Source organism: Homo sapiens, chromosome 2 (genome assembly GCF_000001405.40).
Source record: "Homo sapiens chromosome 2, GRCh38.p14 Primary Assembly".
Taxonomy (NCBI): Eukaryota; Metazoa; Chordata; class Mammalia; order Primates; family Hominidae; genus Homo; species Homo sapiens.
Window position 1 is genome coordinate 97,539,199 of NC_000002.12, and position 27,070 is coordinate 97,566,268.

A 27,070-nucleotide genomic window follows, 5' to 3' on the forward strand; every position below is an offset into this window, starting at 1 on the left:
AATTTTGTTTCTAAAATAGTCTGGTTTGAAGTATCATGTTACTCTCTAAAGCATTTTCATTAAATTGCTATTTTATCCAAAGTTAGCTAATTGAAAAGCCAATATATGCATATTCATGTTTATTTCATTTGAATAACTAATATCAACAAAACATATATCTCTGACACCCAAGAGTAACAAAGAGGAGCAATGAGTCACTGTGGTTTATCCCAATTCTAGGAGTCCTTCCTGCTTCCACTGGTTCCTAAAGCAGTCAAAATCAAATCTTCTTTTAGGAAAATATTCGAATATGCATCTGAACACAAGTTTCCTCAGAAGAAACAACAAAATTACCTAAATAACTTCTTATTTTCCCTCCTTTCTGCCTGACAATCCCTCTTCCTTGAGGAAAGTAATTGCTACATCAGCGGTCTCGTTAGTTCTCATTCTACAGTGTTTATGGGTTATTGTGATCACTTTTCCATCTGTTTTTAGGAACGCGATGTGATATCTGTAAAATCTATACTTCATCTCTATCTCCTACCACCCTTGGTGAAAACATGCTGTAGAATTAAAGCAAAATTATGCTGTCCCCTGAGCCCCTTATGTCTTGACATGGTCTCCAATGTTTCTTCTTCCCAATTTCAATGTGGGGAAGTCTATAATCTTACTTCGAAGATCACGTCCAAGACCAGCAGCATCAGCGTCACCCGAGAACTTATTACAAATGAAGAATCTCAGGTCTGCAGAATCGGAATGTGCAGCTGCGACGAACCCCCCCGCTGATTTATTTGGGGAAGAGAAGTTCTTTTCTATCTGGACTGAACATGACATTAAATGTGTTTTGTAAAATTACCTGTCCCAGATTTTTCTCCATCCTTTATTTCTCTGGCTATATTCGAAACAGAATCTTTCTCATCACCTGTAGTCTGAATGGAATTTGAAACAAAATAATAAATAAATAAAGTATGTTTCATAGACTATACAATTACTAGTTCACAATATAAATAAGAGTTTAATTACCTTCAAGGCTGGTCGTCTCTGAGAAGACACTGAAAAGCAAAAGGGATACATAATCACCCACATGCACGTATGATAAAGTTATTCATACATTCATGCAGTGTTAGCATCAAGCTGTATCCTTCTGCCTGTACTAGGGTAGGATTTGATGTTTCCTACTTTGTGTCTGGGGATTGGAACATGACAGAAATACACTGAAAAAAAGTAATACAGCCTTCATGAAAAATATACTTACAATTTCAAGCATGGTATGATTTGTCATATGTCTAAAACTAAAATAAAACCGTGTCAATATCAACGTGGATATGCTGAGTGATGAGGACAAATGTGATCTAAAATCAGAGGATCAACTCATACACCTGAGAATCAATGTCAAAGTAGGTGGTACTTGATCCCACAGGTCTTTCATGCAAGAAATCAAAAGGATTTACACCATTATACTACAGACATTCATCATGCTCTTTAACTTGCCCGATAACAGAGAAGGTACACAATTACAATGACACTTCAGTTGAATGTACACTTCACGTCTCTTCAGTAGAAGTGTCCTAAATTGATCACCTTGGATATCTGTTTGCTGAAACTGAGTAGATAATATTTATTATTCCTCAAACCCACGTGGTGTAATAATTTGCCTAAGTTTCTTGTATCCACTCGTTTAGCTTTCCAAAAGTTTCTTCATCCATTCATGGCACCAAAGGATAATATATTAGCCTCAATAAAAATATCATCAATTATCAATTTTGACATACTTCTACAAAGTAAAACTGCTACAAGCGTTAGATATTAATATGTTTTACATTCACAAATCACTCCAATATTCATTGAAAATGACCACTTTAGGAGTTAATTAGAATTCCACATACTTTTTGTTTCTAAAATAGTCTTGTTGGGAGTATCATGCTATTCTCTAAAGAAGTTTCATCCAATAGCTATTTTACCCAAGAGTTAGCTCCTTGAACAACGAAGCCAATGTATTCATATTCAAGTTTATCTCATTTTTATAACTAAAATCAACAAAACATGTATCTCTGATGCCTAATAGTAGCAAAGAAGAGTAATGAGTCAGTGTGCTTTATCCCAATTCTAGCATTGTTTCCTGCTTCCAGTAGTTCTTGGAGAAGCCAAAATTTAGTGTTCTTTTATGCAAATATTCCAAATTTATCTGAAGTGAGTTCACTCAGCTTTCCTCAACAGAAACCCCAAAATTACATAAATAACTTCTTCTTTTCTCTCCTTCCTGCCTCACAATCCCTCTTCCTTGTGGAAAATAATTGCTACTTCAGTGATCTTGTTCGTTCTCATTCTATGCTGTTTTTGAGGTATTAGGATGACGTTTCCCTCTGTTTATAACAATATAATCTGACGCCTATAATATCTATTACTTCATCTCTTTCTCCTTCCCCTCTTGATGGAAACTTGCTGTAGAATTAAAGCAAAATGATGCTGTCCCCTGAGGCTGTTATGTGCTAAACCACTCTCCTATGGTTATTCTTCCTAATTTCAATGTAGGGAAGTCTACAATCTTACTACTCAGATCATGGTCAAGGACCAGCACCATCAGGGTCACCCGAGGACTTATTACAAATGAAGAATCTCAGGCATGCTGAATCCAAACATAAAGCTTCAATGAAACCCCCGCTGATTTATTTGGGGAAGTGAATTTCTCTTCTATTTGATCGAACATTACATTAAAGGTGTATTCCAAAATACCTGTCCCACGTATTTGTCCATCCTTTATTTCTGTGGCTATATTCGAAACAGAATCTTTCTTGACACTTGTAGCCTGAATGGGATTTGAAACAAAATAATCAATACATAAAGTATATATTCATAGACTATACAGTTAATAGTTCAAAATATATATGAGTGTTTAATTACCTTCCAGGCCGGTTGTTTCTGAGAAGACACTGAAAAGCAAAACAGATACATAATCACTCATATGTGCATATGATAAAGTTATTCAAACATTCATGCAGTGTTAGCATCAAGCTGCATCTGTCTGCAGTTATTAGTGTAGGCTTTGATGCTTTATACTTTGTGTTTTGGGATGGGAACATGACAGAAATACACTGAAGAAAACAGGAATACAGGTTTCAAGAAATATACACTAAGCATTTCAAACGTAGTATGATTTGTCATATGACTAAAACTAAAATAAAAGTGTCAATTTCAATAAGGATATGCCGAGTGATGAGGACAAATGTGGTCTAAAATCACAGAAGAAACTAATCACCTGGGAATCAATGTCAAAGCAGGTGGTACATGCACCCGCATGACTTTCATGCAAGATATCCGAATGATTAAACCATTATACTGCAAACATTCAACATGCTCTTTAACTTGCCCAATAACTGAGAAGGTACACAATTACAATGACACTTCACTTGAACGTACACTTCACATCTCTTAAGTGGAAGGGACCTAAATCGATCAACGTGGATGTATGTTTCCTGAATCCAAGTAAATAATTCATTATTTCTCACACCCATGTGCTGTAATAATTTGCCTAAGCTTCTTGTATTCTCTAGTTTAGCCTTTTGAACATTTCTTCATCCACTCGTGGCAACAAAGTATAATATATAACCTCAATAAAAAGCATCATCAATTATCAATTTTGACATAATTCTACTAAATAAAACTGCTACAAGTATTGGATATTAATAAGCTTTTACACTTGGAAATCACTCCAATATTCATTGAAAATTACCATTTTAGGAGTCAGTTGTTGAATTCAACATTATTTTTGTTTCTAAAATAGTCTTGTTAGGAGTATCATGCTATTCTCTAAAGAATATTCATTAAATACCTATTTTATCCAAGAGTCAGCTCTTTGATCAATGAAGCCAATGTATTCATATTCAAGTTTATCTAATTTCTATAACTAAAATCAACAAAACGTGTAAGTCTGATACCTAACAGTAACAAAGAAGAGTAATTAGTAAATGAAGTTTATCCCAATTCTAGCATTATCTCCTGCACCCAGTAGTTCCAGCAGCTGCCAAAATCAAATCTTCTTTATGCAAATATGCTAAATGCCTCTGAAGTGAGTCCACTCAGGTTTCCTCAGCAGAAACCCCAAAATTACATAAATAACTTCTTCTTTTCCCTCCTTCCTGCCTCACAATCCCTCTTCCTTGGGAAAAATCATTGCTATATCAGTGGTCTCCTTAGTTCTCATTCTACAGTGTCTACAGGTTATTAGGATCACTATTCTGTCTTTTTTATAGCAGTATGATGTGACATCTGTAAAATATATACTTCATGTCTTTCTCCTTCTACCCTTATTGAAAACATGCTGTAGAATTAAAGCAAAATTATGCTGTTCCCCTGAGCCCCTTATGTCTTGAACTGCTCTCCATATTTCTTCTTCCCAATTTCAATGTGGGGAAGTCTATATAATCTTACTGCAAAGATCATGTCCAAGACCAGCAGCATCAGCGTCACCCAAGAACTTATTAAAAATGAAGAATGTCAGGCCTGCTGAATCAGAATGTGCAGTTTTGATGAGCCCCACACTGATTTGTTCGGGGAAGAGAAGTACTTTTCTATCTGGACTGAACATGACATTAAATGTGTTTTGCAAAATTACCTGTTCCAGATTGTTGTCCATCCTTTATTTCTGTGGGTATATTCGAAACAGAATCTTTCTTGTCACTTGTAGCCTGAATGGAATTTGAAACAAAATAATCAATACATAAACTATGTTTCATAGACCACACAGTTAATAGTTCACAATATAAATGAGAGTTTAATTACCTTCAAGGCTGGTTGTTTCTGACAAGACACTGAAAAGCAAAAGGGATACATAATCACTCATATGTAAATATGATAAAGTTATCCATACATTCCTGCACTGTTGGCATCAAGATGTATCTTCCTGCCTGTATTAGTATAGGCTTTGATGTTTTCTACTTTGTGACTCGGGACTGGAATATGACAGAAATACACTGAAAAAGGTGAATACAGGCTTCACAAAATATACTTACAATTTCAAACATGGCATGATTTGTCATATGTCTAAAACTAAAATAAAACCGTGTCAATATCAATGTGGATATGCCAAGTGATGAGGACAAATGTGATCTAAAATCAGAGGAGCAACTCATACAATTGAGAATCAATGTCAAAGCAGGTTCTACATGATGCCACATGTCTTTCATGCAAGAAATCACAAGGATTTACACCATTATAGTACAAACATTCATCATGCTCTTTAACTTGCCCAATAACTGAGAAGGCACACAATTACAATGACACTTCAGTTGAACGTACACTTCACGTCTCTTCAGTGGAAGTGTCCTAAATTGATCAGCTTGGATTATGTTTGCTGAAACCTAGTAGCTAATATTCATTATTTCTCACACCCCTGTGGTGTAATAATTTGCCTAAGTTTCTTGTATCCACTCATTTAGCCTTCTGAAAGTTTCTTCATCCACTCATGGCACCAAAGGATAATATATTAGCCTCAATAAAAATATCATCAATTACCAATGTTGACGTACTTCTACAAAGTAAAACTGCTACAAGCATTAGATATTAATAAGTTTAACATTCAGAAATCAATCAAATATTCATTGAAAGGACCACTTTAGGAGTTAATTAGAATTCAACATAATTTTTGTTTCTAAAAAGTCTTTTTTGGAGTATCATGCTATTCTCTAAAGAAGTTTCATTCAATAGCTATTTTATCCAAGACTTAGCTCCTTGAACTTTGAAGCCAATGTATTCATATTCATTTATCTCAGTTTTATAACTAAAATCAACAAAACATGTATCTCTGATGCCTAATAGTAAATTACTCCTAAAGAGGAGTAATGAGTCACTGTGGTTTATCCCAATTCTAGCATAGTTTCCTGCTTCCAGTAGTGCCTGGAGCTGCCAAAATCAAGTCTTCTTTTATGCAAATGTTCCAAATGTATTGAAGTGAGTTCACTGAGGTTTCCTCAGCAGAAATCCCAAATTACATAAATAACTTCTTCTTTTCTCTCCTTCCTGACTCACAATCCCTATTCCTTGAGGAAAATAATTGCTACATCACTGGTCTTGTTACTTGTCATTCTACAGTGTTTTTGTGGTATTAGGATCACTTTTCCCTCTGTTTATCCCAATACAATCTGACACCTCTAATATCTATTATTTCATCTCTTTCTCTTTCCCCTCTTGATGGAAACATGCTGTAGAATTAAAGCAAAATGATGCTGTCCCCTGAGCCTGTTATGTGTTGAATTGCTGTCAGATGGTTCTTTTTCCCAATTTCAAAGTACAGACATCTAAAATCTTAGTACTTTCAGCATGGACAAGGACCACAGCATCAGGGTCACCCGAGAACTTATTACAAATGAATAATCTCAGGAATACTAAATCAGAACATGAAGATTTGACGAACCCCCCGCTGCTTTATTTGGTGAAGAGAAGATCTCTTCTATCTTGAACGAACATCATATTAAATGTGTTTGCAAAATTACCTGTCCCAGATATTTGTTCATCCTTTGTTTCTGTGGCCATATTCGGAACAGAATCTTCCTTGTCACTTGTAGCCTGAATGGAATTTGAAACAGAACAGTCAATAAATAAAGTATATTTCATAGACTATACAGTTAATAGTTCAAAATACAAAAGAGAGTTTAATTACCTTCAAGGATGGTTGTTTATGAGAAGACACTGAAAAGCAAAAGGGATACATAATCACTCATACATAAATATGATAAAGTTATCCATACATTCATACAGTGTTAGCATCAACCTCTGTCCTCCTGCCTGTAATAGTGTAGGCTTTGATGGCTTCTACTTTGTGTCTGGGGACAAGAACATGACAGAAATACACTGAAAAAAGGGAATACAGGCTCCATGAAATATATCCTTACAATTTCAAACATGGTATGATTTGTCATATGTCGAAAACTAAAATAAAGCCCTGTCAATATCAATGTCGATATGCCGAGTGATGAGGACAAAGTGATCTAAAATCAGAGGAGCAACTCATACACGTGAGAATCAATGTCAAAGCAGGTGCTACATGATCCCACATGTCTTTCATGTAAGAAATCAAAAGGATTTACACCATTATACTACAAACATTCATCATGCTCTTTAATTTGCCCGATAACTGAGAAGGCACAGAATTACGACGACATTTCAGTTGAACGTACACTTCACATCCCTTCAGTGGAAGTGTCCTAAATTGATCACCTTGGATATCTGCTTGCTGATACCTAGTAGATAACATTCATTATCTCTCACACGCACGTGGTGCAATAATTTGCCTAAGTTTCTTGTATCCACTAGTTTAGACTTCTGAAAATTTCTTCATCCACTCTTGGCACCAAAGGATAATATATTAGCCTCAATAAAGATATCATCAATTATCAACTATGACATATTTCTTCAAAGTAAAACTGCTACAAGCATTAGATATTAATCAGTTTTTCATTCAGAAATCACTGCAATATTCATTGAAAATTATAATTTTAGGAGTTAGTTAGAATTCAACATCATTTTTGTTTCTAAAATAGACTTTTTGGGAGGACCATGTTATTCTCGAAAGAAGTTTCATGAAATAGCTATTTCATCCAAGAGGTAGCCCCTTGAACAAGGAAGCAAATTTATTCATATTCAAGATTATCGCATTTTTATAACTATAATCAACAAAATATGTATCTCTGATGCCTCCTAGTAACAAAGAGGAGTAATGAGTCAGTGTGGTGTATTCCAATTACACCATTGTTTCCTGCTTCCAGTAGTTCCTGGAGCAGCCAAAATCAAATAACTTTTATGAAAATATTCCAAATGCATCTGAAGTGAGTTCACTCAGGTTTCCTCAGAAGAAACCAGAAAATTATATAAAAGAATTCCTCTTTTTCAGCCTTCCTGCCTCACAATCCATCTTCTTTAGGAAAATAGTTGCTACACCAGGGGTCTCCTTAGTTCTCCTACAGTGTCTACGGGTTGTTACAACAAGCTTTCTGTCTTTTCTTGGCAGTATGATCTGAAGTGTGTAAATTCTATACTTCCTCTCTTTCTCCTTCCACCCTTACTGAAAACAAGCTGGAGAATTAAAGCAAAATTATGTTGTTCCCCAGAGCCCCTTATGCCTTGAACTGCTCACCATATTTCTTCTTCCCAATTTCAATGTGGGGAAGTGTATAACCTTACTGCGAAGATCATGTTCCAGACCAGCAGCAACACTATCACCCACGAACTTATTTGAAATGAAGAATCTCAGGACTGCTGAATCAGAATGTGCAGCTTCAACGAGCCCCCCGCAGATTTATTCAGGGAAGAGAATTTCTTATCTACCCGGACTGAACATGACATTAAATCTCTTTTCAAAATTACCTCTCCTAGTTTTTTCTCCATCTTTTTTTCCTCTGGCTATATTCAAAAGAGAATCTTTCTCGTCTCTTGTAGCCTGAATGGAATTTGAAATGAAATAATAAATTAATAAAGTATGTTTCATAGACTATACATTTACTAGTTCACAATATAAATGACAGTTTCATTACCTTCAAGCCTGGTGGTTGCTCAAAAGACACTGAAAAGTAAAAGGGATTCATAATCACTCATATGTAAAAATGACAAAATTATCCACACATTCACGCAGTGTTAGCATCAACCTCTGTCTTCCTGCCTGTATTAGCATAGGCTTTGATGGCTTCTACTTTGTGTCTGGGGACTAGAACATGACAGAAATACGCTGAGAAAAGGGAATACAGGCTCCATGAAAAATACTCTTATAATTTCAAACAGGGTATGATTTGTTATATGCCAAAAACTAAAATAAAACCGTGTCAATATCAACGTGGATATGCTGAGTGATGAGGACAAAGTGATCTAAAATCAGAGGAGAAACTCATACACCTGAGAATCAACGTGAAAGCAGGTGCTACATGATCCCACATGTCTTTCATGCAACAAATCAAAAGGATTTACACCATTATACTACAAACATTCATCATGCTCTTTAAATTGCCCAATAACTGAGAAGGCACACAATTGCAATGATACTTCAGTTAAACTTACACTTCACATCTCTTCAGTGGAAGAGTCCTGAATTGATCACCTTGGACACCTGTTTGCTGATACCAAGTAGATAATATTCATTATCTCTCACACCCATATGGTGTAATAATCTGCCTAAGTTTCTTGTATCCACTAGTTTAGCCTTCCAAAAGTTTCTTCATCCAGTCGTGGCACCAAAGGATAATATATTAGCCTCAATAAAAATATCATCAATTATCAATTTTGACATACCTATACAAAGTAAAACTGCTACAAGCATTAGATACTGATCAGTTTCTCTTTCAGAAATCACTGCAATATTCATTGAAAATGACCATTTTAGGAGTTAATTAGAATCCAGCATAATTTTTGTTTCTAAAATAGCTTTGTTGGGAGTATCATGTTGTTCTCTAAAGAAGTTTCATGAAATAGCTATTGTATCCAAGAGGTAGCTCCTTCAACAAGGAAGCCAATGTGTTCATATTCAAGTTTGTCTCATTTCTATAACTAAAATCAACAAAACATGTATCTCTGATGCCTAATAGTAACAAAGAGGAGTAATGACTCAGTGTGTTTTTATGCCAATTCTAGGATTGTTTCCTTCTTCCAGCAGTTCCTGCAGCAGCCAAAATCAAGTATTTTTTATTAAAATATTCCAAATGCATCTGAAGTGAGTTCACTCAGGTTTCCTCAGCACAAACCCCAAAATTATATAAATGACTTCCTCTTTTCACACCTTCCTGCCTCACAATCCGTCTTCCTTGGGAAAATGATTGCTACACCAGGGGTCTCCTTAGTTCTCCTACAGTGTGTACGGGTTATTACAACAAGTTTGCTGTCTGTTTTTAGCAGTATGATGTGATGTCTGTAAAATCGATACTTCCTCTCTTTCTCCTTCCACCCTTACTGAAAACAAGCTGTAGAATTAAAGCAAAACTATGCTCTTCCCCAGAGCCCCTTATGTCTTCAACTGCTCTCCATATATCTTCTTCCCAACTTCAATGTGGGGAAGTGTATAATCTTACAGCGAAGGTCATGTTCCAGACCAGCAGCATCAGCATCAGCATCAGCATCACTCAAGAACTTACTACAAATGAAGAATCTCTGGCCTGCTGAATCAGAAAGTGCAGCTTCGACGAGCCCCCCGCTGATTTATTTGGGGAAGAGAACTTCTTATCTATCTGGACTGAACATGACATTAAATCTGTTTTCAAAATTACCTGTCCTAGATTTTTCTCCATCCTTTTTTTCTCTGGCTATATTCAAAACAGAATCTTCCTTGACACTTGTAGCCTGAATGGAATTTGAAATGAAATAATAAATAAATAAAGTATGTTTCATAGACCATACATTAACTAGTTCACAATATAAATGAGAGTTTCATTACCTTCAAGGCTGGTGGTTTCTGAGAAGACACTGAAAAGCAAAAGGGATTCATAATCACTCATATGTAAATATGACAAAGATATCCACACATTCATGCAGTGTTAGCATCAAACTCTGTCCTCCTGCCTGTATTAGCGTAGGCTTTGATGGCTTCTACTTTGTGTCTGCGGACTAGAACGTGACAGAAATGCACTGAGAAAAGGGAATACAGGCTCCATGAAATATACCCTTACAATTTCAAACATGGTATGATTTCTCATATGTCAAAAACTAAACTAAAACCGTGTCAATATCAATGTGCATAGGCCAAGTGATGAGAACAAATGTGATCTAAAATCAGAGGAGCAACTCACACTCCTGAGAATCAATGTCAAAGCAGGTGCTACATGATCCCACATGTCTTTCATGCAACAAATCAAAAGGATTTACACCATTATACTACAAACATTCATCATGCTCTTTAAATTGCCCAATAACTGAGAAGGCACACAATTGCAATGATACTTCAGTTAAACTTACACTTCACATCTCTTCAGTGGAAGAGTCCTGAATTGATCACCTTGGACACCTGTTTGCTGATACCAAGTAGATAATATTCATTATCTCTCACACCCATATGGTGTAATAATCTGCCTAAGTTTCTTGTATCCACTAGTTTAGCCTTCCAAATGTTTCTTCATCCAGTCGTGGCACCAAAGGATAATATATTAGCCTCAATAAAAATATCATCAATTATCAATTTTGACATATTTCTACAAAGTAAAACTGCTACAAGCATTAGATATTGATGTTTTACATTCAGAAATCATTCCAATATTCTTTGACAATGATCACTCTAGGACTTAATTAGAATGCAACATAATTTATGCCTCTAAAATAGCTTTGTTGGGAGTATCATGTTATTTTCTAAAGAAGTTTCATTAAACAGCTATTTTATACAAGAGGTAGCTCCTTGAACAAGGAAGCCAATGTGTTCATATTCAAGTTTATCTCATTTCTATAACTAAAATCAACAAAACATGTATCTCTGATGCCTAATAGTAACAAAGAGGAGTAATGAGTCATTGTGTTTTTATGCCAATTCAAGCACTGTTTCCTGCTTCCAGCACTTGCTGGAGTTGCCAAAATCAAATATTGTTTATGAAAATGTTCCAAATGCATCTGAAGTGAGTTCACTCAGGTTTCCTCAGCAGTAACCCCAAAATTATATAAATGACTTCCTCTTTTCCCACATTCCTGCCTCACAATCCGTCTTCATTCAGAAAATAATTGCTACATCAGGGGTCTCCTCAGTTCTCCTTCTACAGTGTCTATGGGTTATTATGAACAGTTTTCTGTCTGTTTTTAGCACTACGATGTGACGTCTGTAAAATCTGTACTTCCTCTCTTTCTCCTTACACCCTTAATGAAAAGATGCTACAGAATTAAAGCAAAATTATGCTGTGCCCCAGAGCCCCTTATGTCTTCAACTGCTCTCTATATTTCTTCCTCCCAGTTGCAATGTGGGGATGTGTATAATCTTACAGCCAAGATCATATTCCAGACCAGCAGTATCAGCATAACCCAAGAACTTATTAGAAATGAAGAATCTCAGGCCTGCTGAGTCAGAATGTGCAGCTTCGACCAGCCCCCCACTGATTTATTCGGGGAAGAGAACTTCTTATCTGGACTGAACATGACATTAAATGTGTTTCGCAAAATTACCTGTCCTAGATATTTCTCCATCCTTTTTTTCTCTGGTTATATTCGAAAAAGAATCTTTCTCATCACTTGTGGCCTGAATGGAATTTGAAACAAAATAATAAATAAGGTATGTTTCATAGGCTATACGTTTACTAGCTCACAATATAAATGAGAGTTTCATTACCTTCAAGGCTGGTTTTTTCTGAGAAGACACTGAAAAGCAAAAGGGATACATAATCACTCATATGTAACTATGACAAAGTTATCCATACATTCATGCAGTGTTTGTATCAACCTCTGTCCTCCTGCCTGTATTAGCGTAGGTTTTGATGGCTTCTACTTTGTGTCTGGGGATTAGAACATGACAGAAATACACTGAGAAAAGGAAACACAGGCTCCGTGAAATATACCCCTGCAATTTCAAACATGGTATGATTTCTCATACGTCGAAAACTAAAATCAAAGGTTGTCAACATCAATGTCCATATGCCGAGTGATGAGGACAAATGTGATCTAAAATCAGAGGAGAAACTCATACACCTGAGAATGAATGTCAAAGCAGGTGCTACATGATCCCACATGTCTTTCATGCAACAAATCAAAAGGATTTACACCATTATAATACAAACATGCATCATGCTCTTTAACTTGCCCAATATCTAAGAAAGCACACAATTATGATGACACTTCAGTTGAACGTACACTTCACATCTCTTCACTGGTAATGTCCTAAATTAATCACCTTGGATATCTGGTTGCTGATACCTAGTAGATAATATTCATTATCTCTCACACCCATGTGGTGTAATAATTTGCCTAAGTATCTTGTATCCACTAGTTTATCCCTCTGAAAATTTCTTCATCCAGTCGTGACACCAAAGGATAATATACTAGCCTCAATAAAAATATCATCTATTATCAATTTTGACATACTTCTACAAATAAATCTGCTACAAGCATTAGATATTAATCACTTTTTCATTCAGAAATCACTGCAATATTCATTGAAAATGACCATTTTAGGAGTTAGTTAGAATTCAACATAATTTTTGTTTCTAAAATAGCCTTCTTGGGAGTATCATGTTAGTCTGTAAAGATGTTTCGTGAAATAGCTATTTTATCCAAGAGGTAGCTCCTTCAACAAGGAAGCCAATGTATTCATATTCAAGTTTATCTCATTTCTATAACTAAAATCAACAAAACATGTATCTCTGATGCCTAATAGTAACAAAAAGGAGTAATGAGTCAGTGTGCTTTATCCCAATTCTAGCATTGTTTCCTGCTTCCAATAGTTCCTGGAGCTGCCAAAATCTAATATTTTTTAAGGACATATTCCAAATGCATGTGAAGTGAGTTCACTCAGATTTCCTCAGCAGAAAACCCTAAATTATATAAATAACTTCTCTTCCCTCCTTCCTGCCTGACAATCCCTCGTCCTTGGGAAAATAATTGCTACATCAGGGGTCTCCTTAGTTCTCATTCTACAGTGTTTATGGGTTATTACTATCAGTTTTCTGTCTTTTCTTCGCAGTACGATGTGACGTCTGTAAAATCTATACTTCCTCTCTTTCTCCTTCCACCCTTAGTGAAACCATGCTGTAGAATTAAAGCAAAACTATGCTGCTCCCCAGAGCCCCTTATGTCTTGAACCTCTCTCCAATATTTCTTCTTCCCAATTTCAATGTGGGGAAGTGTATAATCTTACTGCGAAGATCACGTTCCAAGCCAGCAGCATTAGCGTCACCCAATAATTTATTACAAATGAAGACTCTCAGACCTGCTGGATCAGAATGTGCAGCTTCAGCGAGCCCCCCACCCGCCCTGCGCTGATTTATTAGGGGTAGAGAAGTTCGTTTCTATCTGGATTGAACATGACATTGAATGTGTTTTGCAAAATTACCTGTCCCAGATTTTTCTCCATCCTTTATTTCTGTGGCTATATTAGAAACAGAACCTTCCTCGTCAGTTGTAGCCTGAATGGAATTTGAAAGAAAATAATAAATAAATAAATAAATGAAGTATGTTTCATAGACTATAGATTTACTAGTTCACAACATAAATGAGAGTTCAATTACCTTCAAGGCTTGTTGTTTCTGAGAAGACACTGAAAAGCAAAAGGGATACATAATCACTCATATGTAAATATGATACATTTTCCATACATTCATGCGGTGTTAGCATCAAGCTGTATCCGCCTGCCTGTATTAGTGTAGGCTTTGATGTTTTCTACTTTATGTCTTAAGCCAGGAGCATGACACAAATATACTAAAGAAAACAGAAATAGATGTGTCACGATACATTCCTAACTATTTCAAACATAATATGATTTCTCGTATATCTAAAAGAAAAATAAATCAGTGTCAATATCAAAAAGGGTATGCCAAGTGATCATGACAAATGCGATCAAAAATCAGAGAGGAAACTCAATCACCTGGGAAAATGTCAAAGCAGGTGGCACATGCACCCACATGTCTTTTATGCAAGATATCCAAATGATTTACACCATTATACTGCAAACATTCATCATCTTCATTAACTTGCCCAGTAACTGAGAAGGTACACAATTACAGTGACACTTCAGTTGAATGTACACGTCATGTCTCTGTCTCTTCAGTGAAGTGTCCTAAATTGATCAGCTTGGATATATGTTTCCTGAATCCGAGTAAATAATATTCATTATTTCTCATATCCATGTGGTGCAACAATTTGCCTAAGTTTCCTGTATTCTCTAGTTTAGCCTTCCCGGACATTTCTTCATCCACTCATGGCAACAAAGTATAATATATAAACCTCAATAAAAAGCATCATCAATTATCAATTTTGACATACTTCTACTAAATAAAACTGCTAAAAGCATTGGATATTAATAAGCTTTTATATTTGGAAATCACTCCAATATTCATTGAAAATGACCATTTTAAGAGTCAGTTGATGAACTCAACATTATATTTGTTTTTAAAATTGTCTTGTTAGGAGGATCATACTATTCTCTAAATAATATTCATTAAATAGCTATTTTATCCATGAGATAGCTCTTTGATGAAAGAAGCCAATGTATTGATATTCAAGTTTATCTAATTTTTATAACAAAAATCAACAAAAGATATATATCTTATGCCTAATAGTAGCAAAGAGAAGTAATTTGTCAATGTGGTTTATCCCAATTCTAGCTTTCTTTGCTTCATCCAGTAGTTCCTGGAGCTGCCAAAATCAAATCTTTTTTGTGTAAATATGCTAAATGCATCCGAAGTGAGTTCACTCAGGTCTCCTCAGCAGAAACCCCAAAATTACATAAATAACTTCATCTTTTCCCTCCTTCCTGCCTCACAACCCTCTTCCTTGAGGAAAATAATTGCTACATCAGTGGTCTCGTTAGTTCTCGTTCTACAATTTTTACTGGTTATTACGATCAGTTTTCCGTCTGTTTTTATCAATACGATGTGACGTTTGTAAAATCTATACTTCAACTCATTCTCCTTCCACCCTTGGTGAAAACATGCTGTAGAATTAAAGCAAAATTATGCTGTCCCCTGAGCCCCTTATGTCTTGATCTGCTCTCCAATGTTTCTTCTTCCCAATTTCAATGTGGGGAAGTCTATAATCTTACTGTGAAGATCATGTCCAAGACCAGCAGCATCAGCATCACCCGAGAACTTATTACAGATGAAGAATCTCTGGCCTGCTGAATCAGAATGTGCAGCTTTGATGAGCCCCCCCACTGATTTATTTGGGGAAGAGAAGTTCTTTTCTATCTGGACTGAACATGACATTAAATGTGTTTTGCAAAATTACCTGTCCCACATTGTAGTCCATCCTTTATTTCTGTAGCTGTATTCAAAGCAGAATCTGTCTTGTCACTTGCAGTCTGAAAGTAATTTGAAGCAAATTATCAATAAAGAAAGTATGTTTCATGGACTATACAGTTACTAATACAAAATATAAATGAGAATTTAATTACCTTTGAGGCTGGTTGTTTCTGAGAAGACACTGAAAAGCAAAAGGGATACATAATCACTCATATGTAAATATGATAAAGTTATCCATACATTCATGAAATGTTAGCATCAAGCTGTATCTTCCTGCCTGTATTAGTATAGGCTTTGATTTTTGTGTCTGGGGACTGGAACATGACAGAAATACACTGAAAAAAAAGAAATACAGGTTTCACAAAACAAACCCTTACAATGTCAATCATGGTATGATTTTTCATATGTCTAAAACTAAAATGAAACAGTGTTAGTATCAATGTGAATATGCCGAATGATGAGGACAAATGTGATCTAAAATCAGAGGAGCAACTCATACACCTGAGAATCAATGTCAAAGCAGGTGCTACATGATCCTCCATGTCTTTCATGCAAGGTATCAAAAGGATTTACACTAGTATACTACAAACATTCATCATGCTCTTTAGCTTGCCTGATAACTGAGAAAGTACACAATTACAATGACACTTCAGATGAATGTACACTTCACGTCTCTTAAGTGGAAGGGACCTAAATTGATCAGCTTGGATATATGGTTGGTGAATCCTAGTAGATAGTATTCATTATTTATAATACCCATGTGGTGTAATAATCTGCCTACATTTCTTGTATCCTCTAGTTTAGCCTTCAGAAATTTTCTTCATCCACTAATGGCAGGAAGGTATAATATATAAACCTCATCTAAAAGTACAATAAATTACACATATTTATACAAAATGCAATGGCTCCTGGCATTAGATATTAATAAGCTTTTACATTTGGCTATCAGTCCAATATTCATTGAAAATAACCATTTTAGGATTCAATTAATACATTTAACATTATTTTTGTCTGCAAAATTAGTCTACTCTGGAATATCATTGTATTATAAAGAATTTTCACTAAATAGCTATTTTAATGAAAAAGCATTCGGAAAATGCTTTGGAAAAAAGCTTTGGAAAAAAGCTAATATAGTCATATTAAATTTTAACTCATTTGAATAACTAATAAAAAATATATGTCTGATGTCTGATACTAATAAACAGGAATGAGGCACTGTGGTTTATCCCAACTCTAGCACTCCTTCCTGATTCCGGTAGTCATCGGAGCAGTCAGAAATCAAATCTTCTGGTATGCAAACATTCTAAATGCATCTGAGGTGAGTTCACTCAGGTTTCCTCAGCAGAAACCCCAAAATTACAGAAATAACTTCTTCCTTCCCCTCTTTCTTGCCTTGCAATCCCTCTTTCTTGATGAAAATAGTTACTACATCAGTGGTCACTTTGTTTCTCATTCTCCAGTGTCTACGGGTTATTATGACAACTTCCTCCCTCTGGTTTTAGCAGTACCATCTGACATCTATAATTTCTGTTACTTCTTCTCTTTCTCCTTCCCCTCTCCATAGAAACATGCTCTGAAATAAGAGAAAAATTATGCTGTCCCCTGATCCTCTTATGTCTTCAACTGTTTTCCAATGGTTCTTCTATCCAATTTCAATGTAGGGAACTCTATAAGCTTGTTACTAAGATCATGACCAAGGACCAGCAGCATCAGCACCACCTGACAACTTACTAGAAATGCACAATCTCAGGCCTGCTGAATCAGAAAGTGCATTTTCAATGACACCCCACTGATCTATTCAGGGGTGGGACGTTCTCTTCTGTCTTGAGTGCACATGACATTAAATGTGTATTGCCAAATTACCTGTTCCAGATTTCCCACCGCCCATTATTCTTGTGGCAATATTCAAAAGAGAAACTTTCTTTTTAAATATAACCTGAATGGAAAGAGAAACAAAATAGTCAATACATAATATATATTTCATAGGCTATGCAATAAATAATTCAAAATATAAATGAAAGAGTAACTACCTTCTGGGCCGATTGTTTCTGAGGAGACACTGAAAAGTAAAAGAAATATATAATTCATCATATGTAAATATGACAAAGTCGTCCATACATTCATGCAGTGTTAGCATCAAGCTGTATCCTCCCGCCTGCACTAGTGTAGGATTTGATGTTTTACAGTTTGTGTCTTTGGGACGGGAACATGAGGAAATACACTGAAGAAAATAGGAATACACGCTTCCAGAAAATATACAGTCAGAAATTACAAAGAGGTATTATGCATCATGTGTGTATTACTGAAATAAAAAGTGTCAATATCAATGTGGATATGCTGAATGATGAAAAGAAATGTGATCTAAAATCAGAGGAGCAACTCATACACCCAGGAATCAATGTCAAAGAAGGTACTAAATGCTACTGCATGTTTTTCATGCAAGACATCAGAGGGATTTATACCATTATGCTGCAAGTATTCATCACGCTCTTTAACTTGCCTGGTAATTGAGCAGGTACACAATGACAATGACACTTTAGTAGAATGTACACTTCACAAGTCCTCGGTGGAAGTGGCCCAGCTTCAACAGCTTGGATATAGGTTGGGATAATCCTGTATATAATATTCTTTATTTCTCAAACCCATGTGGTGTAATAATGTGCCTACATTTGTTGTGTCCTCTAGTTTAGGCTACAGAAAGGTTCTTCATCCACTCGTGGCAACAAATATAATACATAAACCTTATCAAAAAGTATAATAAATGATCAAATTTGACATACTTATACAAAATAAAGTTGCTACAAGCATTAGATATGAATAACCTTTGACATTTGGAAATCCCTCCAATATTCATTGAAAATAAGAATTTTAAAAGTCAATTAATGAATTCACCATTATTTTTTTTTCTAAAATAGTCTGGTATAAAATATCATGTTATTCTCTAAAGCATTTTCATTAAATTGCTATTTTTATCCAAAAGTTAGCTAATTGAAAAGCAAAGCCAATATACGCATATTCATGTTTATCTCATTTGAATAACTAATATCAACAAAACGTATATCTCTGATGCCCAACAGTAACAAAGAGGAGTAATGAGTCACTGTGGTTTATCCCAGTTCTAGTACTCCTTCCTGCTTCCACTGTTTCCTAAAGCAGCCAAAATCAAAGCTTCTTTTACAAAAATGTTCGAATATGCAACTGAACTCAGGTTTCCTCAGAAGAAACCCCAAAATTACATAAATAACTTCTTATTTTCCCTCCTTCCTGCCTGATAATCCTCTTCCTTGAGGAAAGTCATTGCTACATCAGTGGTCTCCTTAGCTCTCGTTCTACAGTGTTTATGGGCTATTACCATAATTTCTCCATCTGTTTTTAGCAATACGATGTGATGTCTGTAAAATCTATACTTCATCTCTTTCTCCTTCCTCCCTTGGTGAAAACATGCTGTAGAATTAATGCAAAATTATGCTGTCCCCTGACTCCTTATGTCTTTAATGGCTCTCCAACGTTTCTTCTTCCCAATTTCAATGTGAGGAAGTCTATAATCTTACTGCAAAGATCATGTCGAAGACCAGCAGCATCAGTGTCACCTGAGAACTGAGGAATCTCAGGCCTGCTGAATCAGAATGTGCAGCTTCAATGAATCCCCCGCTGATTTATTCGGGGAAGAGAAGTACTTTTCTATCTTGACTGAACATGACATTAAATGTGTTTTGCAAAATTACCTGTCCCAGATTGTTGTCCCTCCTTTATTTCTGTGGCTATATTTGAAACAGAATCTTTCTCGTCACTTGTAGCCTGAATGGGATTTGAAACAAAATAATCAATATGTAAAGTAGGTTTCATAGACTATACGGTTAATAGTTCAACATATAAATGAGACTTTAATTACCTTCTCAGCTGGTTGTTTCTGAGAAGACACTGAAAAGCAAAAGGGAAACATAATCACTCACATGTACATATGATAAATTTATCCATACATTCCATGCAGTGTTAGCATCAAGCTGTATCTTCCTGCCTGTACTAGTGTAGGCTTTGATGTTTTCTACTTTTTGTCTGGAGACTGGAACATGACAGAAATACACTGAAAAAAAAGGAATACAGGCTTCACAAAATATACCCTTACAATTTCAAACATGGTATGATTCGTGATACATCTAAAACTAAAATAAAACCGTGTCAATATCAATGTGGATATGCCGAGTGATGAGGACAAATCAGAGGAGTAACTCACACACCTGAGAATCAATGTCAAAGCAGGTGGTACATGATCCCTCATGTCTTTCTTGCAAGAAATCAGAAGGATTTACACCATTATACTACAGATGTTCATTATGCCCTTTAACTTGCCCAATAACTAGAAGGTACACAATTACGATGACAATTCAGTTAAATGTACACTTCACGTCTCTTCGGTGGAAATGTCCTAAATTGATCACCTTGGATATATGTTTCCTGAGATCTAGTAGATAATATTCATTATTTCTCACACCCATGTGGTATAATAATTTGCCTAAGTTTCTTGTATCCACTAGTTTAGCTTTCTGAAAGTTTCTTCATCCACTCATGGCAACAAACGATAATGTATTAGCCTCAATAAAAATATCAATTACCAATGTTAACATACTTCTACAAAGTAAAACTGCTACAAGCATTAGATATTAATAAGTTTTACATTCAGAAATCACTCCAATATTCATTGAAAATCACCACTTTAGGAGTTAATTAGAATTCAACATCATTTTTGTTTCTAAAATAGCCTTGCTGGGAGTATCATGTTAGTCTCTAAGGAAGTTTCATTAAGTAGCTATTTTATCCAAGAGTAAGCTCCTTGAACAAGGAAGCCAATGTATTCATATGCAAGTTTATCTCATTTTTATAAGTAAAGTCAACAAAACATGTATCTCTGATGCCTAATAGTAACAAAGAGGAGTAATGAGTCACTGTGGTTTATCCCAATTCTAGCACTGTTTCCTGCTTCCAGTAGTTCTCAGAGCAGCCAAAATCAAATCTTCTTTTATGCAAATATTCCAAATGCATCTGAAATGAGTTCACTCAGGTTTCCTCAGCAGAAAACCCAAAATTACATAAATACCTTCTTCTTTTTCCTCCTTCCTGCCTCACAATCCCTCTTCCTTGAGGAAAATAATTGCTGCATCAGTGGTCTTCTTAGCTCTCATTCTACAGTGTTTATGGAGTTATTAGGATCACTTTTCCCTCTGTTGATAACAATATGATATGATGCCTATAATATCTATTACTTCATCTCATTCTCTTTCCCCTCTTGATGGAAACATGCTGTAAAATTAAAGTAAAATTATGCTGCTCCCTTAGCCTGGTATGTGTTGAACTGCTCTCCAATGTTTCTTCTTCCCAATTTCAATGTAAGGAAGCCTACAATCTTACTACTCAGATCATGACCAAGGACCAGCAGTATCAGAGTCACCTGAGAACTCACTACAAATGAAGAATCTCAGGTGTACTGAATCAGAACGTGCAGCTTATATGAACTCCCCACTGATTTATTTGGGGAAGGGAATTTCTCTTCTATCTTGATTGAACATGACATTAGATGTGTTTTGCAAAATTACCTGTCCCAGATATAGGTCCCTCCTTTATTTCTGTGGCTATATTTGAAACAGAATCTTTGTCGTCACTTGTAGCCTGAATGGGATTTGAAACAAAATAATCAATATGTAAAGTAGGTTTCATAGACTATACAGTTAATAGTTCAACATATAAATGAGACTTTAATTACCTTCTCAGCTCGTTGTTTCTGAGGAGACACTGAAAAGCAAAAGGGATACATAATCAATCATATGTAAATATGATAATGTTATCCATACATTAATGCATGGATAGCATGTTAGCATCAAGTTTTGTACTCCTGCCTGTATTACTGTAGGCTTTGATATTTTATACTTTGTTTCTTGGGACTAAACATGAAGGAAATACACTGAAGAAAATAGGAATACAGGCTTCAAGAAATATACACTGACAATTTCAAATGTGATATGACTTTCTCCATATGTCTAAAACTAAAATAAAACCATGTCAATATCAATGTGGATATGCTGAGTGATGAGGACAAATGTGATCTAAAATCAGAGTCCAACTCATACACCTGGGAATCAGCGTCAAAGCAGGTGATACATGCACCCACATGTCTTTCATGCAAGATATCAGAATGATTTGGAATATTTTACTGCAAACATTCATCATGCTTTTTAACTTGATTGATCAGTGAGAAGGTACACAATTATAATGACACTTTAGTTGAAATCTCTTCAGTGGAAGTGTCCTAACTTAATCAGCTTGGATATATGTTTGGTGAATTCTAGTATGTAATATTCATTATTTCTCACACCCATATGGTGTAATAATGTGCCTACATCTCTTGTATCTTCTAGTTTAGCCTTCCAAAAGTTCCTTCATCCACTCATTGCAACAAGGTATAATATATAAACTTCATCAAAAAGTGTAATAAATTACCAAATTTGACATACTTTTACAAAATAAAGTTTCTACAAGCATTAGATATGAATAAGCTTTTACATCTGGAAATCACTCCAATATTCCTTGAAAATAACCATTTGGGAGTCAAGTAATGAATTCAACATTATTTTCACTTCTAAAATAGTCTGGTTAAAGTATCATGTTATTCTCTAGAGAATTTTTATTAAGTTGCTATTTTATCCAATAGCTCCTTGAAAAACAAAGCCAATGTATGCATATTCACATTTATCTCATTTGAATAACCAATATCAACAAAACATATACCTCTGGTGCCCAATGGTAACAAAGAGGAGCAATGAGTCACTGTGGCTTATCCCAATTCTATCACTCTTTCCTGCTTCCAGTAGTTCCTGGAGCAGCCAAAAATCAAATCATCCCTCATGCAAATATTCTAAATGCATCTGAAGTGAGTTCACTTAATCTAAGAGTTATAATTTAAAAAATCATTTTATTTATACTCATGAAGACTCCTGATGTTTTTACATTTCCTGGATTCAGCAGTTCTACCTTCTCACTGTCTCTTCGTCCACTTTTGCAAAAACATACACATCAATGAAATACTGTGTAATCAGATTCCTATGAAAATAAACTAAACAAAGTTTCTAAATCACTAGAGACTTCTTTTCTTATAAATAACCAACCAATATGACATAATACATATATATACATATGTCATGATTGTCATGATTATTGGCAGTTATCTGTTTAGTACTCTAAAAATGCATTCTTTGATTCCTTTTTTTTAAAATCTAGTTTCACATGATATACCATCAGGGTCTCTCAGGTTCTTTTACAAAATAACTACCTCAGCAAACACAGCTTTCCAAAAACAAAAACAAAAAACAAAAATCTGATGTGAACGAAGCATGTATCATTGATGTCCAAAACTTCTAGGGAGAAGAAATGAGACCCTGTGGGTTACCCTCATCCTTGTAACTTCTGCTTCTGCTTTCCATTAAGTGACTTCCCACAAGTCTCCTCATCAGAAACTTCCAAATTACCTCACTAGCTGCTTTCTTTGTTTACACCTGCCCAATTTGACATACATTTTTTTCGTTCATAAATCTAATATCCATATTGGTGGACTTGATTCTTTGACCTCCACATTCATTTCTTCATTATTTTCACCACCACTGTATGTGACATCTGTACAGTCCCATTCTGACACATGTGAAGATAAGGTTTTGCTTTATTAAAATGTTAAATGTGTCAGACACTTGACTAATGTGTACAAATTCCTTCTTCACAAAAGCAGCCCCATGGCCTCCTCTCTCCCATAGACACTCTTTCACAGCTGTTCTTCACTCACATCGGTTTGAGTATCTATCATCTCTTATTTTGTCGCTATGCTTTCACCTCATATTATGAGTTATTATCATAGGCTCAGCAGCCTATCTTACCTGTTTTCCTCTCCAGCAGACAGTACTGAGCAATAAACTAGGATTTTCCAGGATATGAACACTTTTATGTACACAACACTTTGTGGAGCTATTTTATGTTTAACTACCCATAGCACCACTATGTTTATGCTTTCCAGAGAAATAAGCTCTGAAATTTTATTGAATATAACCTATTTAAAAACTTATTTAACTACAATGACAGTCTCTCCTTGATGCACCAAAATCTTCAGAAATAACTTGTGAAGACTTGAAAACATGTCAGTAATTGACATGAAAAATGAAGCACTGACATAATTTTTTGCAGGTATAAAAAAGACAAGCTGAGATCCTTACTAGATCCAAGAAGAGCAAAGTACGTTAGACAGGAAATAAATATGGAACACAAATATTTTCACTTGTAATGAAAATTCCTCTATTTACAGTTTTCAGAAGAGAAAAAAATACACACACACACACACACACACATTCACACACAAAAACCAGAGCAATATGGCTTTACGGGGTGTTTCTTCATCAAAGTCCTATTTGCCATTTGACATCTGGGAACACTCTATAGGGATCAACAAAGGGGTTCTAAATTGTGATCTGAGTAGTTTAGAGTTTAACATTCATGAAGGGGAGCCAAGAGGACAAGTAACACTTTGACCATCGGCCATTTCCTCTCCTTACTGTCATTCTCTGAAAAGCACACACTGGATTTTCTCAGGGTCATGACATGTCAAAAAGACATGCTTTAAGGGGGAAACAGTTGCAATCAACATAGCCATGGGAGAGATGCAGCTATGCTTGCTAGGATTTCCAATACTTCTGTTTCATTTCTAATATAATACAAATCAATAAAAGCAACCACATAAGCATATCCATGCTGGTATGTCACCATATTTATGTCCATATGGTATCAACATGAAGAGAGCATAATTAAATATGCTGCCATCATCACATGGCATATCATTAGATCATACAATAAATCAAATACCTCACTGGGTCAACATGGATAGATCTGAAATATATATCACTGATTTTACAAAGACCAAGTTGCAGTCATTTTGTGCACTGTCTGAACTTTTCTACAAGGTTTTAATACACAAAATCAAGTTCTACATGTTATCTAGGAATATGCACATATGTTGTAAGAGGTTTTTAATGTGCATTTGGGTGATTTCTTTTGCTTTTTTTAAAAAAAAATTTAATTCAAGTTCTTGGTTACATGTCGTCAATAAGTTTTAGTAGTATAGAGAACCCTAAGACCATAACAGCTCAGAATGACTGTCTTAAAGGCTATGTCTACCAAAGAGTCAGGATAGCATGACTACTTACTTTCTTCATTTTTAAAACTCAGAGGTACCCCACACACACTCCCAAATAAAACTGCACACAAGTTCTTTAGTTTAATTAGATCCCATTTGTCAATTTTGGCTTTTGTTGACATTGCTTTTGGTGTTTTAGTCATGAAGTATTTGCCCATGCCTATGTCCTGAATGGTACTGCCTAGGTTTTCATCCAGGGTTTTTATACATTGAGAACTTAATTTTAAGTCTTTAATGCACCTTGAGTTAATTTTTGTATAAAGTGTAAGGAAGGGGTCCAGTCTCAGTTTCCTGCATAAGGCTAGCCAGTTTTCCCAACACCATTTATTAAATAGGGAATCCTTTCCCCATTGCTTTTGTCAGGTTTGTCAAAGATCAGATGGTGTAGGTGTATGGCATTATTTCTGAGGCCTCTGTTCTGTTCCATTGGTCTATATATCTCTTTTGGTACCAGTACCATGCTGTTTTCATTACTGTAGCCTTGTAGTATAGTTTGAATCAGGTAGCATGATGCCTCCAGCTTTGTTCTTTTTGCTTAGGATTGTCTTGGCTATATGGGCTCTTTTTTTGGTTCCATATGAAATTTAAAGTAGTTTTTTCTAATTCTGTGAAGAAAGTCAATGGTAGCTTGATGGGTATAGCATTGAACCTACAAATTACTTTGGGCAGTATGGCCATTTTCAAGATATTGATTCTTCCTAACCATGAGCATGGAATGTTTTTCCATTTGTTTGTCTCTTATTTCCTTGAGTGGTGGTTTGTAGTTCTCCTTAAAGAGGTCCTTCAAATCCCTTGTGAGTTGTATTCCTTGTTATTTTATTCTCTTTGTAGCAATTGTGTATCGGATTTCACTCATGATTTAGCACTCTATTACTGGTGTATAGGAATGCTTGTGAATTTTGCACATTGACTTTGTATCCTGAGACTATGAGGAAGTTGCTTATCAGCTGAAGGAGATTTGGGGCTGAGACAATTTGGTTTTCTAAATATACAATTATGTCATCTGCAAACAGAGACAATTTGACTTCCTTTCTTCCTATTTGAATACCGTTTATTTCTTTCTCTTGCCTGATTACCCTGGCCAGAACTTCCAATACTATGATCAGAGTGAACAGGCAACCTACAGAATGGGAGGAAATGTTTGCAATCTGTCCACCTGAAAAAGGCCTAATATCTAGAATCTACAAGGAACTTAAATAAATTTACAAGAAAAGAACAAACAATCTCATCAAAAAGTGGGCAAAGGATATGAACAGACACTTCTCAAAAGAATACATTTATGCAGCCAACAAACATCTGAAAAAAAGCTCATCATCACTGATCATTAGAGAAATGCAAATCAAAACCACAATGAGATAACATCTCATGCCATTTAGAAAGGCAATCGTTAAAAGGTCAGGAAACAACAGATGCTGGAGCAGATGTGGAGAAATAGGAATGCTTTTACACTGTTGGTGGGAGTGTCAATTAGTTCAACCATTGTGGAAGACAGTGTGGTGATTCCTCAAGGATCTAGAACCGGAAATACCATTTGAGCCAGTAATCTCATTACTGGGCATATACTCGGGGTGTGTGTGTGTGTGTGTGTGTGTGTATATATATATATGTACAGTGGCTTGTTCCTATAATCTCAGCTACTCAGAAGGCTGAGGCAGAAGTATCACTTGAGAAGCCCAGGAGTTTGAGAACAGACTGGGCAACATAGCAAGACTCTTTATTAAAAAAAAATCATACAGGCTGGGCACAGTGGCTCATGGCTGTGATCTCAGCATTTTGGGAGGCCAAGGCGGGTGGATCACACGAGGTCAAAAGTTTGAGACCAGCCTGGCCAAACATGGTGAAACCCCATCTCAACAAAAATACAAAAAAAAAAAATTAGCTGAGTGCGGTGGCACACGTATGTAATCCCAGCTACTCGGGAGGCTGAGACAGGAGAATCGCTCAAACTCAGGAGGCAGAGGTTGCAGTGAGC

General features: G+C 35.7%; 1 protein-coding gene across 26 annotated transcripts in view; it reads right to left on the bottom strand.

Annotated features, from left to right (window-relative positions):
• ANKRD36B (ankyrin repeat domain 36B) overlaps positions 1 to 27,070 on the bottom strand; it is a 97,215-nt gene that overhangs the window by 46,536 nt on the left and 23,609 nt on the right. For 16 of the 26 annotated variants that reach the window (XR_007078917.1, XM_047445328.1, XM_017004578.3 and 13 more), the window contains 24 exons: positions 21,634 to 21,662; positions 21,467 to 21,539; positions 19,768 to 19,796; positions 19,601 to 19,673; positions 17,906 to 17,934; positions 17,739 to 17,811; positions 16,028 to 16,056; positions 15,862 to 15,934; positions 14,145 to 14,173; positions 13,970 to 14,042; positions 12,254 to 12,282; positions 12,091 to 12,163; positions 10,388 to 10,416; positions 10,221 to 10,293; positions 8,505 to 8,533; positions 8,338 to 8,410; positions 6,635 to 6,663; positions 6,468 to 6,540; positions 4,759 to 4,787; positions 4,592 to 4,664; positions 2,881 to 2,909; positions 2,713 to 2,785; positions 1,003 to 1,031; positions 836 to 908 (listed from right to left, as the gene is read on the bottom strand). Coding sequence is in view for 25 of the 26 variants with exons in the window: in XM_047445328.1 (XP_047301284.1) it covers positions 836 to 908; positions 1,003 to 1,031; positions 2,713 to 2,785; positions 2,881 to 2,909; positions 4,592 to 4,664; positions 4,759 to 4,787; positions 6,468 to 6,540; positions 6,635 to 6,663; positions 8,338 to 8,410; positions 8,505 to 8,533; positions 10,221 to 10,293; positions 10,388 to 10,416; positions 12,091 to 12,163; positions 12,254 to 12,282; positions 13,970 to 14,042; positions 14,145 to 14,173; positions 15,862 to 15,934; positions 16,028 to 16,056; positions 17,739 to 17,811; positions 17,906 to 17,934; positions 19,601 to 19,673; positions 19,768 to 19,796; positions 21,467 to 21,539; positions 21,634 to 21,662 (1,224 nt within the window). In the remaining variant the exon portion in view is untranslated. The other 10 variants (XM_047445337.1, XM_047445323.1, XM_047445324.1 and 7 more) reach the window with 10 other exon arrangements.